Source organism: Homo sapiens, chromosome 10 (genome assembly GCF_000001405.40).
Source record: "Homo sapiens chromosome 10, GRCh38.p14 Primary Assembly".
NCBI classification, from domain to species: Eukaryota; Metazoa; Chordata; class Mammalia; order Primates; family Hominidae; genus Homo; species Homo sapiens.
In genome coordinates, this window is record NC_000010.11 from 74255732 (window position 1) to 74277616 (window position 21885).

General features: G+C 37.3%; 1 protein-coding gene across 13 annotated transcripts in view; it reads left to right on the forward strand.

The window, feature by feature from the left end:
• The window catches only part of ADK (adenosine kinase), a 558070-nt gene that overhangs the window by 104511 nt on the left and 431674 nt on the right, over positions 1-21885 (forward strand). The gene's annotated exons all lie outside the window — the stretch shown is intronic.

A 21885-nucleotide genomic window follows, 5' to 3' on the forward strand; every position in this document is an offset into this window, starting at 1 on the left:
GATACTAAAAGGAATTTGTTAAGCAAACTTACTTTTGCAGTTATCTCTCCATGGACAGTCAGAACAGGTATTCTTCATTTCTAAAACATACTGCTGTTCTTTAAGACCATTCTTTGGCACTGTGGAACTTTAGTCATTTTCTAGACATTTGTTAGCCACTAAATGTCTCATACCAGGGACTCATATTTGTAAATAATAGTGTCTGCCTTTGAGAAGCTCATAACTGGGTAGTCAACGAACAGTCACAGTGCAGATCTGGAATCAGTGTTGAGGGAGTACAAAATCCTTTGGGTGTTGTAATCAGAGTCAAGAAAAGCTTCACAGTGGCGATAGGCTTAAGCTTAGTTGAAGGAAGAGGAAGCTTTCAAGTGGAGGTGGCAGAGAAAGCATTCTGACATGTGAAAAGGCAGGAAAGCCTGCGTGCAGCATATTTATTAGTTTTGTCTCCCTTGGAGCATTTTGTAAATTTTATTGAGTATTCAGAGTTGACAGAAAGGCAGTCAGGGATCATTTCATGGAGCGCCATGCTGAGAAGATTAGAGGATTTTAAGCAAGTGATGTGGTCAAATTTGCAGTTTTGAAAGAGTACTTAACATTATCCTGGTTATATGTTTAGCAGATTTGGCAAGAACTGATTGTTATGATTTGATAGTCATTTAATACAAAAAGGAACCTGGAATGCTCTTCGTCTTTAGTGAACATTATGTAACCTATCTTCATGGCCTTCTTAGTGAGGTAAACATTTTTTTTTTGAAATTGTAAAGATTTAAACTTTTTGAAGGGTAAACTTTCTCAGATAATTATGCTTAGTTGTGAGCAGAAGTAAAATAATGTTTTTACAGGCCAGAGCATTTAATTACCAGTGCAAGACTGTCCAGACTACTCTTTCCATTTACCATGATAACTGGTAAAATGTGAGATGGTGATTGCTCCATCATCTTGGGTACTGAGATGAAAAGATGTGGGGTGGAGTCCTCAAATGACTTATGATGAACAGCTAGTGTAAGCAAGAAAATGACCTTATTGTTTTAAGCCACTGATATTTTGCAGTTCTTACCTGATAAATGGTACATGAACCTAACGTGTTTTTATTGATGCAACCATATATCAAAACAGTATTTTTGAAGGAATCATTGTAGAAGTACAGACATTTATAGAAAATTTTTTACCTCTCTGATTTAGAGAAATTTTTGAAAGCACAATAACTTAGGTAACATAGTAACATAAAAGTTCTCATAATATGTGTAAACCAAAATGAGTTACTGCAACTAAGAGTCATTTTGAAAGAGACTAAAATTGACTTATCTTTAATTTGTTAAATAAAAGTGTGATATTAAATCCATTACAAAAATGGGTAAAAATTGAAGACAACTGCAATTTTATAGGTTACTGAACTTTATATTTTACATGATATTACAGTCATCCTTCAGTATACATGGGCGGGTGGTTCCAGGACCCAAGTCTACAAATATGTTAAGTCCCACAGTGGGTGCTGTGAAACCTACATAAAGGAAAAGTTGGCTCTCTGTATGCGCAAGTTTCGTATCCTGTGAATTCTGTATTTTCAATCCACATTTGGTTGAAAAATTTCAGCCTGTAGGTGGACTTGCGCAGTTCAAACCCACTTCATTCAAGGGTCAACTGTATTTTATAGTCAGTATTTGCATAATAAGGAAATCTAAATGGTACTTTGATATTCAAAGTTTCATAATAATCTATATGTATGTTTTAAAGTGAGTGTGGTGATATTAATACTTAAATGAAAAATATGAGTTAATAAAGCAATTTATAATTTTATATCAATTGAGCATATTGTTTTTGAAATTTAATTTAGAATAATCATCTATACATAATCTATAGATACTTTAGTCTTTCTATATGACATTCTTATGGTGGTTTATTGATTATCATAACTATGAATAATGAGTAAAAATTATACAACTATACAAGCCAATATATGCTTGAAATTATTATTTATTGATAGTAAATTAGATTTTGACATGAAATGATTTCTGTTTAGGCAATAAATTTAAACTATAGAAAAAAATGCAGTGTAACTTGTACTGTAAATAAACGATTAGCAATGAACATTACAGTGAGAGCTGATAGTTTATGAATTATTCACTGCAAACTTATTGTCTCTGTGTCATTAACATGTAAGATAATGAGCCTAATTACCATGGCTTTAAACTCAGGGGAGTTAGCAATTTATGTGTAAAAGTTTCTGGGCTGTAGTTACCACCCACAAGGGTATTGAGAGAACTGCAGACACTACTTCTGTGTTTTGTTTCAGAAATGTTCTTTTTCCTCACTTGCTTCCTTCTTAATAAATTAGTTTTTATTTATTTTTATAGTGAGAATTATGAGCTTTTCCTCTTGCTTGAATACCTTTTTAAAGGAGTTATGAGAAATATTTAAGTATTTTTTTAGTGTAGTTTAGTGTTGTAAGTAGACAAAATATTATTAGATGTATTCTTTTATTTGCTTACATAAGTTGGCATCACTTACTATAGTAAATGACCACTAATAGTGTAATTTCTTGGAAAATCTAGCCTAAAAGGTCAATATTAATAATTGGTTTTCTCCTCTAAAAGGATTTGTACTAAGATGATTTACTTTCAAAGTACTCAGTATTAGCCTATAGCCTTTTTTCTAATCTTTAATATTGTATCTTTGATCTTAATTTAAAGTTTTGATGAACTTGTTGCTTCTATTTTCTCTCTTATAGTATAAATTATCTGTAATAAGCCACCTTAATTAAAGTTGGTAAATCTACAACTGCTTCAATTATACACTAATCAATTATACACTAATTTAATTCTACTTAGCAGGATACGGTACATCATTAATCAGTTTTAGACTTAATACAACAGATTTAGAAGTAATCAAAATTGAAGCATTTTATTTAGCTGGGAAAAAAATGAAGGGTCATAATCTAGTAATTCACATATCAATTCTGATAAAAATCAAAGATTCTTTGCTAAAAATGAAGGAATGTAGCTGTTATGTTTACTGTTGAGTGCCATGGGCTGAAGCTGTGATTATATAATATCTTTAGATGTTAATAGCATAATAGTTTTGTGCTCTACCTTTTTCTTTAAATTGTTATTCATGTTACTAAATGGGTTGTTTTCTGTAACATGATTGTTTAACGTATACATAATATAAGAATTCCTTGAGTGAATATCTTTTTTGTTGTTGTTGTTTGTTTTTGTGTTTTTTTTTTTTTTTTTTTTTTGAGACGGAGTCTCCCTGTGTCGCCCAGGCTGGAGTGCAGTGGCATGATCTCGGCTCATTGCAACCTCTCCATCCTGGGTTCAAGCGATTCTCGTGCCTTAGCCTCCCAAGTAGCTGGGATTACAGGCATGTGGCCTAGCTAATTTTTGTATTTTTAGTAGAGAAGAGGTTTCGCCATGTTGGCCAGGCTGATTTCGAACTCCTGGCCTCAAGTGATCTGCCTGCCTCAGCCTCCCAAAGTGTTGGGATTACAGGTGTGAGCCACTGTGCCTGGCATATAGAATATTTACTAGTAGTTTGTTTTGAACATGTAAGCATGTGCACAAATGTATTTTTTTCAGAATTATGTTAAATAAGATGATTAGATATAATTAACTCAAAAATCTTTAGCAAAATGATCTTTGTTTTCTGTGATTGAGGTGGTGACAAATTTGCCTTAGAATTCTTGGGGATGTGTTATAAACTCGATGTAATCATTTTTCTTTTCCTTTTTTTTTTTTTTTTTTGAGACGGAGTCTTGCTCTGTCACCCAGGCTGGAGTGCAGTGGCGCGATCTCGGCTCACCGCAAGCTCCACCTCCTGGGTTCATGCCATTCTCCTGCCTCAGCCTCCCAAGTAGCTGGGACTACAGGCACCCGCCACCATGCCTGGCTATTTTTTTTGTATTTTTAGTAGAGACGGGGTTTCACCATGTTAGCCAGGATGGTCTCGATCTCCTGACCTCGTGATCCGTCTGCCTTCGCCTCCCAAAGTGCTAGGATTACAGGCGTGAGCCACCCTGCCCGGCCCATTTTTCTCAATTATCTGCTCATTGAATTAAATGACTCAGATTGAATTTCATTACTCATTCTTTCTATACATGTTCATATTATTGGAAACACTTCTTGTCCTGCTCAGCTTTCTTTCCAATAAATTAGTAATTCTTTGCTCACTCGTCTTGTATTCCTTTATAAGAATGTTCTAGATAGGGATATTCTAAGTTTTGAAGACTATGTATGTTAAGTGCATTTTACCCTTTTGAGAGAGTTTTAGTAACAAGTTTCAGGGAACCCCTAGGACTCTGACCCATTATAGCTTTGGCCATTTAAAAAAAAAAACCTTCAAAGGTAATATGTGTACATGGTTAACAATCAAATAGAACAGATGGTCTGTCTAATAATGAAAAACAAGAAAAATCTTGCCCTATGTTTCTCTGTTCCCACTCCCCCCAAAATCAGCCACTTGTAACTGATTCTGTTTTCAGTGCTTATTGTGGTTGTCTCAACCTGTAGTAGAATTATAGATTCTTTTGTTTGTTTGTTTGTTTTGCTTTTTAAATTAGAGACAAGTTCTTGCCCTCTCACCAGGTTGGAGTACATTGGTGTGATCACAGCTCACTGAAGCCTTGAACTCCTGGGCTCAAGCCATCCTCCTGCCTCAGCTTCCTGTGCAGCTGGGACTACAGGCATGCACCACTCCACCCAGCTAATTTTTTAATTTTTTTGTAGAAACAGGGTTTTGCTGTGTTGTCCCTTGAATGCCTGGCCTCAAGTGATCCTCCTGCCTTGGCCTGTGATTATAGGCGTGAGCCACTGTGCCCAGCCTTAGAAATTATTTCTCAATGCTTTTGCTCTTCTGTGTTCTGTGATTAGGTGACTCTTTATCTCACACCACTTCTACCTTTTCTCCATCCTTCCAAGTTGTGATCACTGTTTTCGTTCCTAAATTGGTTATTTTTAAACTTCAAATAATTCAGGTAAATTTATATTTTATGTTTTGTTAACTGTGTTCCCTGCTTACTGTTTCTTCCATTAATTTAAATATCATCGAAGTTGATAATGCTAAGAACTTGTTTGTGTTAAGGTAATTCTCACATGTGGATAAAAACTGATTAGTGCCAAAAGTTTACAATAAAATATAACAGTCTCCTATCCTACCCTGGGTTCTCCAGAAGCGGCAACTTATAATACTGTTAGTTTGTTCTTTCTGATACTAGCTTATTCCTAAATAATATGTGTATTCAGCTTTTCTGATTAACCAATTTTAGATGTTATCTATTGACCTTTTTATTGGGGCCTGGGATACAGATCATATTATATACCTGTGCACCCAGTTCTGAAAAGTTATATAATAATTTTGGTTCAATCTATAAGCAGTCTATAATCGTTATTTATATTATAGTGACTATGTAAGTATTGAGTGCTGTAATATAGCACATTACATTCATTTGCTTAAACAAATATTTGGTCCCCCTTTCCCACCACATTATTTATAGCCTTGTTTATTCATTTGCTTGGTTTCCTATTGGCTAATTTGCTAATCTCCCCCCTCAGTGTTTCAGCAGATCTCTCCAGCACCTCCCATTAATTTTTCTTTGTTTATCATAGGTTCGAAACTCAATAATTTTTTTTCCTGGAAGTTTCTCTCCTTCAGCCCTCTATTCTACTTTACCAAGGAGTTGTCTTACTCTTTTCAGCTCTGATCCTGGGACTTCCCTTTGTTGCTCTTTTGGGGGACAATTTGCTTTTTGATTGTTTTTAGTCTTATTAGTTTATGCCCTTGTTTTGCTCAAGCACATTCTCCAGAGCTTCCTGAGAAAAGAATATGTGAGAAATAAAATTTTTCCATACATGTAGGTCTAAAATGTCTTTATTCTACCTTTACATAGGTTGGTATTTCAATTAAGTCTGGAAATGCAGATTGAAAATAATTATTCCTCAGAAACTTGAAGGCCTTGCTCCATTAGCAACCAGTGTTTCCTATGTGAAGTTTGATGCCACACTGATTGCTGATTCTTTATATGTGACCTATTTTTTTCTCTTTGGACATTCTTAGAATCTCCTCTTTCCTCCTGGTATTCTGGCATTTCTCAATGTGATTTTTCTTATTATGGCTTTTTTTTTTCATTGTTCTGAGCATGTAATGGGCCCTTATAGTCCAGAGACTTAAATGTTCTTCCTGCCATTCATGCAGGTTTTTGAAATTTCTTCTCTACTATTTTCTTTAGAGCTATGAGTTATTTTTATTAGCCAGTTTTCTATTAATAGACACTGGATTTTTCAAGTTTTCCACCACAAAAAACACTCATGGGCCGGGTGTGGTGGCTCACACCTGTAATCCCAGTGCTTTGGGAGGCCGAGGTGTGTGGATCACCTGAGGTCAGGAGTTCAAGACCAGCCTGGCCAACATGGCGAAACCCTGTGTCTACTAAAAGTACAAAAATTAGCTGGGTATGGTGGCAGGTGCCTGTAAATCCCAGCCACGTGGGAGGCTCAGGCAGGAGAATCGCTTGAACCTGGGAGGCAGAGGTTGCTGTGATCACGCCATTGCACTCCAGCCTGGATGACAAGAGTGAGACTTCATCTCAAAAAAAAAAAAAAAAACAAAAAAACTCCTCACATATATTATCTTTTTTGCATGTACTTTTATATAATTGTGCCAGTTCTTCTGTAAGATATACATGGCTTTTATCTTATTACTTTCTCTGAGAGGTAGAGGGTGGGGCAGGGAAGGCAAGGAGAGGAAGAAGCTTTGAGATTCTCCTACCTGAACTTCAGATTCTGGTGTGATACCTCAATATTGAGTTAGAATGGCTTTATCAAGCATGTTTATTTCTAGTTTTTCATATTATTTTTGTCTTAGTCATGAAGCACAACAAACCAACATAGAACCCATTTCATACTGATGAATAAACAGGTAGCTTCATTCATGTATTCATTTATTCATTCAGTCATGTTGTGATACTCTTTGGGAATACAAAGGTGATACTGTACTTGCTGTCATGGGATTTACAATTCTAGGGATAAGTAGGAGTGTAATTGATAAAACATGTATTTGTGCTTTTCAATAGTAATATTGACTAACTCAAGAAAACTTTTGGAGACAGGCTTTCTTTGAATGGACTGTGATGCTTGCTTGTTTATGTTTTCATGAATACATTTACTAGCTTTTGATTTTTTATATTAGGAGAGAACAGAGTGTCTTGTTGTGGCAGAAATACCTAATATGTAATCCTCTGAATTCTTCAATTGTTGCAAAACATAAACATTTACTAAAGAGTTCAGCAGAGTAGATTAAATGTTATTTAAAACATATGTTATATTGACCTCATGGCTAAATGGCCTGGTTTAGGAATCCATGAATTATCCCACAGGTAATAGCAAAGTTTTCTCCCTGCCTCGTCTCCCACCCCAAATATTTGATTTCCACATATACTGCACAGGGGAATTGAATTTGATGTCGAAAGCCATAAGAAAAAGAGAAACTTTGCTTTTTACTGCTTTTACTAGGAAATAGAAAACATTTTTAGTGACAGGCTATGCTTCATCATGAAAATACGGTTGGGTGTTTTAGGCCTTCACAAATTTGATTTCATTGTACTTAGTGATGGATGTTAGTAAGCTGTGTGAGATGGAGAGAAATTAAAGAATAAACAGGAACCTCTCAAACTTGCTAGTGATGTTCTACAGTTTGTAGCATGAATTTTCTTACTTTTAGTTTTTCCTTATGAAATACTTTATGTAGAACAAACTAGCAGTACTAAAACAAACACCCATGTACCCAATCTGTCAACACTTAGATTTGTTGAAGATTTGGGTGGGCAGAGTCTTCCACCCAAATGGTAAAAGGGGAATACATTACAAGTACATCTGGGGTTCTCTGTATACCTGTCTTCAGCCCATTTTCTGTCTTATTTCAAAGTTCACTGGTGTTCCAGTTTTGTTTTTAGCTGTAATGCTTTTCTTAGTGCTTAAAATATATGTGTATATATTCATAAGCAATATGAAGTATTGATTTGCGTGTTCTAAAACATATTTTACAGTGCCTCTCCTTCGGCTCGCTTTTTCGTGTAACATTGAATTTTTAGATTTTTCCCTGTTAATGCACGTAATTTATATGTAATTTATTTTCACCTGTATAGACTTGTATGAATACATCACAATTTATTCTTTGGTTGAGGAATTACAGGTTTTTCAGTATTAGAAACACTACTGTGTTTAAGGTTCTTGTACTGATCTGTTTATGCATATGTGAAAGATTCTTGAGGACTGTATTTTAAATATGTGGATGTTTAAATTTCAATTAATTAAAATTAACTCAGTTCCTCAGTTACACTAGCAACATTTAAAGTGTTTAATAGCCACATGTAACTAGTGAGTAATGTATTGGATATTGTGGATATGGAATCATTCCATTATCATAAAAAGTTTTATAGGCTAGTGCTCCTTGGGGTTTATACCTGTGTGTGGAATTGTTGTGTCACTGGGCTTGCACATGTTGCACTTCAGTAGATGTTGCTGAGTTGTTCTTTCCAGTGGTATCTGAGCATTCCCTTTCTCAATTGTCTTGCTAAGAATTGGTATAAACAGAAATTCTAATTTCTGTTTTGTAGGTGTGAACTGTATCTCATTGTGGTTTTAATTGAATTTTGAAAATATATAGTGAGGCTGAGCCTTTTTTCTTATACATGTGTTTACCTTTTACAGTTCTCATCTTGTGATTGCCTCTTAATGTCCTTTACTCATTTTTTCTTTTGAGATATTTTAAATTACTGATTTGCATGAGTTTTTTTTGTATTTTATGGATACAAATTCTTTGATTATATTTGCCATATATCTGTGCCTAGTATGTGACTTGTCTTTCATTTTGTGGTGTCTTTTGCCTCACACAAGTTTTAAAATGAAATGTAATCACATTATCAATTTTTAAAAATGCTTTATCTTCTTATGCCTTATTTAAGAAATTACTTCCTACTCTAAGGTCAGAGTTTCCCATATGTGCTTTGCAGAGGTAGATCTTTCATCTGGTAGTATGTAATTTTTGTGTATGGTGTGAGGTAGAGTTGGAGACTTGAGTTTTTTTGCATATGGATAACCAATTATCTTTGTATAATTTTCTGAAAACTTCATTGCCTTAATAGTTTTTTGTTTGCATGGGGGTCAATTTCTGGGTTCTAATTCTGTTCCATTGGTCTATTTGTCCCTATACCAATGTTTCAGTTGAATTTTCCTTTTTGTCAAAGTACCTATTTTTTTCTTTATTTTTTGTAGAGACAGGGTCTTGCTTTGTTGGGTAGACTGGTCTTGAACATCAAATGATTCTCCTGCCTTGGCTTTCCAAAGTGCTGGGATTACAGTTGTGAGCAACCACACCTGGCCAAATTTTCTTAAAATGAAAATAACAGTGATAATTTAGGTCCAAGCCCTCTTCCCAAAATTGATTTAGCTGATGATAAGCTATAATATTGGAATTTATAATATAAAATACTACAATTTTTTTTTTTTTTTGAGACGGAGTCTTGCTCTGTCACCAGGCTGGAGTGCAGTGGTACAATCTCAGCTCACTGCAACCTCTGCTTCCTGGGTTCAAGCGATTCCCCTGCTTCAGCCTCCTGAGTAGCTAGGACTACAGGTGCGCACCACCACGCCCAGCTAATTGTTTTTATTTTAGTAGAGACGGGGTTTCACCATGTTGGCCAAGATGGTCTCAATCTCCTGACCTCGTGATCCACCTGCCTTGGCCTCCAAAAGTGCTGGCTGAGATTACAGGCGTGAGCCACCGTGCCTGGCCTAGAAAATGATATTATAACCAGCAGATGTGAACAATAACATTTTTTTCTGTGATGATATTTGAGAAAAGCGCAACTTAATTACAAAAGAGTGAAAAACAATCACTTTATCAAAGTCAGAACTTCTATACACTTTCAAGTGGTGAATTGAGCCTCACTTAAAATCTAATTTTCACTTTTAATGCCATTTGTTTTCTTTTGAGATATAACTGATTCATTTACCACCAATTTTTATAAATTGGATTTGTAGTTTGGCCATTGTATGAAAATATTTTTTTAAAAAAGTATATGGGTCATATGGGTAGTAATCAGGCAAATTGGTTTTAGATTTGCAGTACCTGTTCAATTATCTGAGATTTAGGGGATCTAGGGCATGTGAGTAGAGGTTCTATTAGGTTTATAAAGTGCTTGTGATGATAATATAGGTTAAGGACCAAGTACCTGGGAAAGATCAAGGGCATACTAAATAGTTGTTCCTAAAGTAATGGGACAATTGCAGAGAGAGGGATGAGAGAAGGAGACTTAAGGATGATGTGTTGATGTGTATGTATATATAAATGAGACATAAATGACTTTTGGAAGGATTACTAAAGAAAAACAGCAATAGAAGAAGACTAGCCTATGTCCAGCAGCAAAAGGAAGTAGAAGACAGTGAGTCAGATAGTGACCAGTACAGGACGCTAGGTGGTGCCATTAGTCTTAGACTGCTTATTTGAAGTCTCTGGAGGCTCAGTAACCTCAGAATAGAAAGATCGAAAGGCGGCCGGGCACAGTGGCTCACGCCTGTAATCTCAGCACCTTGGGAGGCCGAGGTGGGTGGATCACGAGGTCAGCAATTCAAGACCAGCCCGGCCAACATGATGAAACCCCGTCTCTACTAAAAATACAAAAATTAGCCTGGCGTGGTGGCGGGCACCTGTAATCCCAGCTACTCAGGAGGCTGAGGCAGAGAATTGCTTGAACCGGGGAAGGAGAGGTTGCTGTGATCGGAGATCGCGCCACTGCACTCCAGCCTGGGTGACAGAGCAGGACTCTGCTTCAAAAAAAAGAAAAAAAGAAGAAAAAAAAAGGCACTGCTTGTATAGTAAATGAGCGAATTGTCTTATTGAGTATAACCCATAGTATATTATAGTTCTTGATATTTTCTTCTCCAGTGATCATTTTGAAAAATTTTCTGGAATTTGCATTGTAAAGAAGTTTGTCCACCAAATAAACTGTGTTTTAAAAGTAATAGTTCATTTCTTTCTAATTTTAAAGGTTGTATATAAAAAGGTATTTTCATTTAAAATTCATATTAAAAAAGATAATTGAAATTTTCATATTGAAATTATATAATCAGAAGGAACTTGGTGTTTTAATAAGCTTTAGTGGCCTTTTCCTAGGTCAATGTACAATTCCACTGAATTTTTTTGAAATACATATCCATGGGTTCCACATTGGTGGATTAAACCGTGGAAAGAAAATATTAGGGAAAAAGAAATTGCCTGTGTACAGAGCATGTACACATTTTTCCTTGTCAATATTCCCTAAACAATATGACAAAAGTTTACATACATTTCCATTGTATTAGATATTGTTAGTAATCTAGAGATGATTTAAAGTTTGGGGAGGATGTATGCAGGTTATATGCAAATACAGTTGACCCTCAAACAGCACAGGTTTGAACTGCATGCACCTACTTATATTAGTTTTTTTCCAGTAAATACAGTTGGCCCTCTATATGGGTTGGTTTGGCATCTACAAGCAAAAATGGATGGAAAATACAGTATTCAAGGAATGTGAAAGTTGTGTATATGGAGAGAAGGGCCAACTTTTTGGATCTATGGGTTCAACAGGGCCAACTGTGGTACTTTAGTATGTGTGCATTTTGGTATCCAAGTTGGGTCCTGGATCCCTCAAAGATACTGAGGAATGACTGTATTGAAGATGATTCCTTGATTCCTGTTACATTTTTTTTTAAGATTCCAGATTGGGAATAATTAAGTGCATTATTTGATTTCTGGAGATGAGTTACACCATTAAATTTTTGTTGATATGTGTATCGTGCAGGTGACAGAAACCCTAACTCATACTGGCTTAAGTAAATGGAAATTATTGGATCACATATCTAAAAAGATGTTGGTATGGCTGATTTTAGGTGAAGCTTGATGCAGAGGTTCAAATAATTTTATTTGGACCCTCTTCACCTCATCTTCTAGAGGTAGGGTACTGCCATCAGCTATTGGCTTATATCCTTATTTGTGTGTGTGTGTGTGTGTGTGTGTGTGTGTGTGTGTGTCTGTCTGTCTGTTTTAGTGGCTCTAAAAACAGGTGTAGGATTATGTCATATTAGGCCTCTTTGGCTTGTTTGGGTTCCATATCTACTCTGCAACTGGAGATAGAGTTAACACTGCTGGAAATTTATGGATTAAGAGTGTTGAAGGGATGATTCCCCAAAGAAAATTTGGATCTTATTAGGGAAATAAAGAATGGTTGTAAAATTGCACTTATTTCTTTAAGGAAGTCATCTTAAAGCTGTTTTTCTTTGCCAGGTATGGTGGCTCACACCTGTAATCCCAGCACTTTGGGAGGCTGTGGTGGGAGGTTCACTTGAAGCCAGGAGTTTGAGACCGCTCTGGGCAGCATAATGAGATCCCATTTCTACAAAATATTTAAAAGTTAGCCAGAGATAGTGGCATGAACCTGTAGTTCTAGCTACCCAGGAGACTGAGGCAGGAGGATTGCTTGAGCCCAGGAGTTCGAGGCTGCAGCTCGATTGCGCCACTGCACTCCAGCCTAAGCAACAGAGCAAGTCACCATATCTTTAAGAAACAGCAACACCCCCCAACACATGAAAAACTTTTTTTTTTTTTTGGCTAAGCTGTTCTTACACTATTGATTTTATTTCACTAGAATTTGTTTTTACTTTAATCTCATTTGTGCTACTTATTAGTTGTGTGACTTCTCAGAGTCCATTTCCTCACTGGCAAAATTGTTGATACAACTATTGATATAGTTATGGTGATGATAAAATAAGATAATGTGTGTGAAATACCTAGCCTAGTGCCTGGCATATATTAGATATTACAGAAATGTTAGTCCACTTGTAAGCATGGTTATTACCCAGACATGTTTGGATTTTATCAGTCTTTGCTATATGTTTTAAATTAGCCTATAATCTGTAAGTATCACAGATGTTGTAGAATGATCAATTTTCAGATTATCAGTTTGATTTATTGATTACCGCTTTCAGTGCTGAAAATGACAGTTGGTAGATATTGTCCAATTCATGACTTGCCAGTATTTTTATCCTAGTACTTAATGTGCAGATTTAGCTTCTGTAAGATTTTTACAATTAATCTATGTGGGGAAATATAAATTATCTTTAAGGAGTAGCAGTAAGTGTAGTGAAATTATGATAAATGGTTTTATTGTTTGGGGAAATAATATCAACTGCTTCATGTGTTTGAAGAATAAAAGGAAGTTGGCAGCAAGGGAGAAAGATGAATGATTAAGTATGGCTTAAACTTGTTTTTTAATTAAAGTGCTTCATTGTTGTACACAATATTCAAATTATATTTAAATGTAACATTAATTTTTCTATTAACATTCATCTTTATTAGAAAATATTGCTTGTATTTATCATAATTTTTTTCCCCACCAACTATAACACTCTTATAATCTATTTGGGTTAATGCGTGTGTAGTCTCAAGAAAAGAGCCTCCTTAATTGTTTTTAAACTGTTTGAACACTAGAGATTTAGTAACCTACATTTCCAATAACTAACAATACATATGAAACTCTTGATAGTGATGGAATAGAACTAATCATTTCCTTATAATATAGTGATACATCATTATTTGACTTATGGCATATTTAACTCTGGTTAGCTACAAGCAGCTTTATACTGGTGTCTTTTATTCAGATTTGAGAAGTATCAGTGTAACATATAAAGAACTTATTTTTACTAATTTTCACCATATTTTATAGACACAAACCACATGAGACCAAAAATAGTGTATACTGACCTGGCTGGTCATTTTATGGTTGGTTATTGTGTTTATTATTCTGTACTATGTTTGTTGTATTTGTGCTTTAGTTGCTATTTATTTTTAAGAATATTGTGTTATATAGGTGTAAAAGTGATAAGAATGTGCCAGGTATGGTGGCTCACTGTAATCCCAGCACTTTGGGAGGCCAAGGCAGGCAGATCACTTGAGCTCAGGAGTTCAAGTATATCTTTTGTAATCCCAGCACTTTGGGAGGCTAAGGCAGGTGGATCACTTGAGCTCAGGAGTTCAAGACCAGCCTGGCCAACATGGGGAAACCCTGTGTCTACTAAAAATACAAAAAATTAGCTGGGCGTGGTGGCACGTGCCAGTAGTCCCAGCTACTCGGGAGGCTGAGGCAGGAGAATCGCTTGAACCCAGGAGGTGGAAATTGCAGTGAGCCAAGGTCATGCCACTCCACTCCAGCCTGGGCAACACAGCCAGACTTCATTTCAAAAAAATAAATAAATAAATAAAAGTGATAAGAATGTGACATGTTAATAGGGAGAGATATTAGTCCGATGGTAATTAAAAGCAGAGAAAGTTTTAAATAAACTAAATGGTGAAGAATTGGTTTGTTCAACAATAGGAGTTATTTTGAAGAATAAAGCAAGTGATTAAACATGTGAAAAGTAATGTGCCTATGCCCCAAAGTGCTATTGCTTAGTGGGTTATATCTATTGATAATTACAATATTAGAAATTAAAATGGAAACGGTTGAAAATATTCAATACATTTAAAGATAACTGTAATAAACCCAGTATTTGCTAGCATAAACACATTTTTCTGGAAAATAATGATATTTTCTAAACCAGAAAAAAATAGTTAAAAGAATGGTATTGCTTTTTGCAAATCTCTTTAATGTCTGACTTAGTAGAAGACAGCTGGATTTTCATCTGCTTCTGCCTGCCATCTGTTGTAATATATTGAACTGATCCAGAACTCCTGGTCTCAAGCCATTGTTCCACCTCGGCCTCCCAAAGAGCTAGGATTACAGGTGTGAGCCACTGCACCCAGCAAAGCAAATAGTTTTAACCTTGTTGGTTCCCTGAAAAGATTTTGTGGGACCCTTGTAGTCCTTAGACTATGCTTTGAGAACTGCTGGCCTTAGCAATTGAACGTAAGTACAGTAGGAGACATTGGTAGAAATGCTTTTGAATTTACAGTAGAGTCTGGGCATCAATATTAGATGTCTATTGATCTTTTATTAAAAGACTAAGAGTTTGAGAATTTAAAGGCTAAAACATTATAGGTCCTGCTGATCAGACTTTTCATAGCCAGATAGTTCTGTAGGCTTAAGGCCCTTTAAATCCAGATAATGTCCAAGTAAGTGGCAAGGCAGCAATTTGGATTCCATAGCTGCTAAAAAGTTTTTTACGGCATTTGTACATAGATCATTAAGAAGAGAGGAATTATTTCTCACAACCAATTTTTAGTGTAGACAAAACTGGAATATTTTGGAGAAAAATGTCTTAATAGAATGCATATAGCGGTAATGTAGTCTTCTATTTGGCAGGAATATATATAGGGATGGTCACTTTAGATTAAAGAACAAATAAAACTTAACCTACTTATAAACAGAGGCTTCTGTATTGAGAATTTTTCTTAGTATAACATATATTCACCTTAGTATCAAGTTGTGGGGGTTTTTGATACCCCCAAATTGACAGTTATTCAGCTGAAACTTGGAGATAGGACAGACCTTGATTAATATTTGGCAATAATTGTCAGTTCTAATGTTGGAATTTTTGCTCTAACCTTGTTGATTAAGCATTTAACTTATTTACATTTTTATGCTTAGGGATTAAAAGTATGTCTACTTTACATTTATATTCAGGTATATATATATTTTTGTTGTTGTTGTTGTTTTTTCTTATTATTATTATACTTTAAGTTTTAGGGTACATGTGCACAATGTGCGGGTTAGTTACACATGTATACATGTGCCATGCTGGTGTGCTGCACCCATTAACTCATCATTTAGCATTAGTATATCTCCTAATGACTATCCCTCCCCCCTCCCCCCACCCCACAACAGTCCCCAGAGTGTGATGTTCCCCTTCCTGTGTCCATGTGTTCTCATTGTTCAATTCCCATCTATGAGTGAGAACATGCGGTGTTTGGTTTTTTGTCCTTGTGATAGTTTACTGAGAATGATGATTTCCAATTTCATCCATGTCCCTATAAAGGACATGAACTCATCATTTTTTATGGCTGCATAGTATATATTCAGGTATATTTTAAGGCAGTTTTTAAGTATATCTTTTTTCTTTAATAGTACTTACAAAAATGTAATTATTTGATATGACAAAGCTGCTTCATATTTTCATATTAGCTTGAACTTTCCATTGATATGTCAAGCAAATAAATACTTAGTTTTTTTCTGAGTAGAAACCAACTGTACTGCAAACCCCATTGATAGTAAATTAATTGCAGGGATTTAACATGTAGGGAAACCTTAATTATTCTGAATATACTTATGTTATGATGTGTAGATGATTTGTTTACTGTCTTTAATGTGACTGAGTCAAAATATGTGTAGTTATTTGCATAAAAGGGAAGTGTTGCTAATATATTTTGCATTACTTAATGTTATATATAAAATTAATTTTCCTTGTAAGGGATGTGAGAAATTTTTTTACTCCTCATTTCTGTTTATTCTCATCTATTTCTTTGAAAATGTAGATTTAATTTATTTAAATACTGTGTGATGAAAACATTACAGATATGTTCTTGCTCTCTTTTTTTTTTTGAGACAGGGTCTCACTCTGTCATCTAGGCTGAGTGCAGTGGCATAATCATGGCTCCCTGCATGTCAACCTCCTGGGCTCAGGCAGTCCTCCCACCTCAGCTTCCTGAGTGTTTGGGACTACAGGCGCGCACTACCATGCCGGGTTAACTTTTGACTTTTTGTAGAGATGGGGTCTCACTATGTTGCCCAGGCTGGTCTCAAACTCCTGGATGCAAGCAATCCTCCTGCCTCAGCCTCCCAAAGTTCTGGGATTACAGGCATGAGCCACCACAGCCAATATGCTTCATTTTCTACCTCTGATTATAAATTAAAGGATAGTATTATAAATGCTTAATTTTATAACCTCCAAATAGTGATATTGTATTGCTCCTTATTGTGATGGATAAATTATAAGACATATGTGTTTAACTGGTTTGGTGGCAAGTCTGTTTACAGAAATTTGCTGTTAATTTCTCAGTTGTTCACATGAACTTATCTGATTTATAGCTTTGGCCAGCAATTTACAAAGAAAGTTCAGTCTGTAGGGCTTCCTGTTGCTCTGAGTGGGGGCTCCTTCTACCCCTGTTCAACTTCAGTCAGCCCATGGTCTATAGTATACCTCTCACAAGGTCCTTATACTGCAGATCCTCTCTGCTGCAGATGCTTGGGCTTTTGCCTTAAGCACACTGGTGTAATTAGAAGAAGTAGAAAAGAAGAGAAAGGGTGAATAATAAGAGATGAGAGGATTTAAAAATGGTTGAAACAGGAGTTGTGAAGTTTGAGTGTGGTGGATATGGAGATGTGCAGCCCTGATCCTCCTTCAAGGAAGAATTGTGGCCCAGTTGTGGGGAGGTCAGTCATCAGAAAACCTTCAGCTGTCTGGCCTACAGAGGACAGCCAGAAAAAAAAAAAAAATTGCCTTAAGCTGTCAGCTCCTTCAGGCTCTACCTCAGTTGCGGAGAGCCTCCTTGCTTAAGGTCACATCCTTTCCAGGGCAGCACTTATCCTGCAATCAAGCAAGACATGTTTAAAGGCCCAGCCATTTTGTTCAGGCCTGAGACAACTCTGACAGGTGATATACCACCAGAGATCTGCCAGGTTGCTTGAGGCTTTGTTGGGCCTGAATTGCAATTTGATTTTTCCCTCTGCCCAATTCGGCTTTCTTCCCCAAATCTCTTCTTCTTCTTTTTTTTTTTCTTTGAGATGAAGTCTTGCTCTTGTTCCCCAGGCTGGAGTGTGATGGCATGATCTTGGCTCACTGCAACCTCTGCCTCCCAAGTTCAAGCAATTCTCCTGCCTTGGTCCCCTGAGTAGCTGGGATTACAGGTGGGTGCTACCACCCCTGGCTAATTTTTGTATTTTTAGTAGAGATGAGGTTTCACCATGTTGGCCAGGCTGGTCTCGAACTCCTGACCTCAGGTGATCCACCCGCCTCGGCCTCCCAAAGTGCTGGGATTACAGGCGTGAGCCACTGCGCCCGGCCTCTCCCCGAATTTCTTTCACAGGGATTGACTGCTAATAAACATCATATACCCAAAACTACTTCAGTGTCCATTTTCAGAGAATCCAGCTTGCAACAGGCAGGCGTATCGGCTTCATGTTGTCCTAAACCTTACGTAAAGTTCTATGCAATTTTTTTTGTGAATTTGCATTTTTCTTAGGAGGTCTGTGGCTTCCATTATCTTCTTTAAGATAGACTTGAAAATTAAAGGTTTTTCTCATCAAGGACTTAAGAAGGAAAGGCTTAAACATTTTTTTTTTGACTCAAGATCAAACTAAATACACTTGGCCATTGAACAATATGGGGGTTAGTAGTGCTGACCCTTTGCACAGTTGAAAATTGACATACGACTTTTTACTCTCCCAAAACTTAACTATTAATAATCTACTGTGTACCAGAAGTCCTACCAGTAACATAGTCTATAAACACATATTTTGTATATGTATTAAACACTGTATTCTTACAATAAAGCTAGAGAAAACAAAGTGTTATTAAGAAAATCATGGCCGGGCGTGGTAGCTCACACCTGTAATCCCAGCACTTTGGGAGGCCGAGGTGGGTGGATCACCTGAGGTCAGGAGTTTGAGGCCAGCCTGGCCAACATGGTAAAACCCTGTCTCTACTAAAAATACAAAAATTAGCTCGTGGTGGTGGCAGGCGCCTGTAATTCCAGCTACTCAGGAGGCTGAGGCGGGAGAATCGCTTGAACCTGGGAGGCAGAGGTTGCAGTGAGCCTGAAATTGCGCCATTGCAGCTCCAGCCTGGGCGACAAGAGCAAGACTCTGTCTTAAAAAAAAAGTCATAAGAGAAAACCTGTTTATTATTCATTGAGTGGAAGTGGATCATCATAAAGATCTTTATCCTTGTCATCTTCATATTGAGTAGGCTAAGGAGGAGGAGGGGTTGCTTTTTAAGAGGGGGCAGAGGTGATTAGTAGGAGAAAAATTTTAATGTGTGTATATATATATATATACACACACACATTATATATATATAATTTTTTGTAGAGACAGGGTCTTACTTTGTTGCCCAGGCTGGTCTTGAACTCCTGGGCTCAAGTGATCAGCCTGCCTCCTAAAGTGCTGGGATTACCAGCATGAGACACCGTACCTGACTGGAGGAACTACGTTTTTGATATGGTACTCAGAGAACTGAGTGCAGTACAGAAGCTTATACACCCCCTTTTTTTTATAGGGAAGTGGGGAAATGGAGAATGTAGACAGTTCTTTTGAGGGCCAGTAAATCATTTAGGTGGGAGGCAGACATTGTGGGAAGGTGAGAGGTGAAGCTGCAGGTTGTCTTACCATGCAGATGAAGGCCCCCTGGGTAATCTGTTGGAGCTGCCCTGGGAAGAATAGATGAAGTCTTTCTGGGCAGTAATGATCATGACTTCCAGCTTCTTCTCATGTAGTCGACCTTTCCTGATCATTTGATGAGATCCCTAGGAAGGGAGTTTAAGACAATTGCATTTCTTTTGGAAAGAAGCTTTTTTGGGCTGATAAGGAAATACCAGAGAGAGCCCCTCTCTGCGCTGGGGTGGGGGACACGACAAGTTAGAGGGATCTTGATTGTGAGGCAGCTTCTAAGGCCTTTAAGCATGTCTAAGTGCCAGTCTTTGGGGGTGTGGTTTGAGAGACCAAAATAGATGCCCCTTTATTAACTAGGACAGATCTTAAGGTTAAGGAAACAAAGTTACCTATCGGTAGAAAGTTCAGGGCCCTGCTGGTGTGGCAAATTTCTAAATTCCTATGGCTACAAGAAAAATCACTCTTATTAAACTCTCTAACAATAGGAGCTTTCAGACAAATTATCACAATTCTGATTTACAGCCCAGACTACTACAACTCTGGACAGAATTCCCAACTTAGAAACATTCTTTTCTTTTCTTTTTTTTCTTCTTTGAGACAGAGTCTCACTCTGTCACCCAGGCTGGAGTGCAGTGGCACAATCTTGGCTTACTACAACCTCCACCTCCCATGTTCAAGAAATTCTCCAGCCTCAGCCTCCAGTGCGGACCACTATGCCTGGGTAATTTTTGTATTTTTAGTGGAGATGGGGTTTCGCTATGTTGGCCAGGCTGTTCTTTAACTCCTGACCTCAGGTGATCTGCCTGCCTCAGCCTTCCAAAGTACTGGGATTACAGGCATGAACCACTGTACCCAGCCCTTAGAAACATTCTTTTCTGATAAGCTTTATAGACCTTGAGTTTCAACCAGCTTTAGAGGCTGGGCACAAATTGTCTTTGCATCGTATAGTTTTTATCTTTTGATGTAAAGAGCCAAATTCCACCTTATTTTAATGCTAAAGCCCCACCCCAAAGTGAGCATAGGATGTATATTACACATATGTTTACCCATTGCACGTGCGCTCAGCTCTTCTCGTAAATATGAATAGCTTTCCCCTAAATCTGCTGAATATATATGATTCTGTTGTGTAATATGGGCCCTGTGAGGCATAAAACCCAACCTATCCTTCCCCTGTTTGAAGACAGAGCACCTTTGGTTTGCACTGGAGACTTTTTCTTCGCTGGTTGCAAACCCATATTCCCAGTAAAGCTCTCCTTTCTACTACGTAGCTTCTGGTTATCTTTTGGATGACAGGGGTATTGCTTTCTGGGCCCCAACACTGGGAAGCAGCACTTAACCATTGTAAGCAAGGAGAAGGGTGTATTAATTTTCTGTTTTTCAGATAACAAATTGACACAAATTTAGCAGCTTTAAAACAATACCCTTTTATTATCTTATAGTTCTATAGGCCAGAAATCTGATACAGTGTGTCTCACTCAGCTGGTTCTCAGCTCCAGGTTTTACAAGGCAGAAATCAAGATGCTGGGAGGATAGTGTATGTTCCTTTCTGGAGGCTCTAGGGGTGAATGTTTCCAAGCTCTTTCTGGTTGTTAGCTGAATTCAGTTACTTGCAGTTGTAGGACTGAGGTTCCCATTTACTTGCTGGCTTTTTGGGAAGTGGTGTTTACCTGTTTAATCTCAGTGGTGTTTACCTGTTTAATCTCAGTGGTATGTGTAGTTATATGGGATTGTGTGTTTTAAATTGATCTCTTTTGTACCTTTCCTTTCTATTCCTTTGATTTTTGTTCTTTTTCATCTCCTTTTACTTTCTTTGGGTTTATCTATTGTTCCTTTTCAAATATCTTTTTTTTTTTGAGACGGAGTCTCAGTCTGTTGCACAGACTGCAGTACAGTGGAACGATCTCAGCTCACTGCAAACTCCACTTCCCCAGTTCAAGCGATTCTCCTGCCTCAGCCTCCGGAGTAGCTGGGATTACAGGCGCCTGCCACCACACCCAGCTAATTTTCCTGTTTTTAGTTAGAGACAGGGTTTCACCATTTGGCCAGGCTGATCTCGAACTCTTGACCTCGGGTGATCCGCCCTCCTCAGCCTCCCAAAATGCTGGGATTACAGGCATGAGCCACTACACCCAGCCTTTAAATATCTTAATAAGAATACTTAGCTCATTCATTTACAGCCTTTTTTCATTTCTAAGATGAGCACTTAAGTCTATACATTTTTCTCAGAATACCTTTTTTGTGTGACCTGGACTGTGTGAGATAGTTTTTTACTTTTTCATTTTGAAGTGTTTTAAATTTCTTTTGTTTTGTTTTGTTTTGTTTTGTTTTTTTGAGATGGAGTTCTCACTCTGTCGCCCAGGCTGGAGTGCAGTGGTGTGATCTCGGCTCACTGCAAGCTCCCCCTCCCGGGTTCACGCCATTCTCCTGCCTCAGCCTCCCAAGTAGCTGGGACTACAGGCACCCGCCACCATGCCTGGGTAATATTTTTTTGTATTTTTAGTAGTGACGGGGTTTCACCATGTTAGCCCGGATGG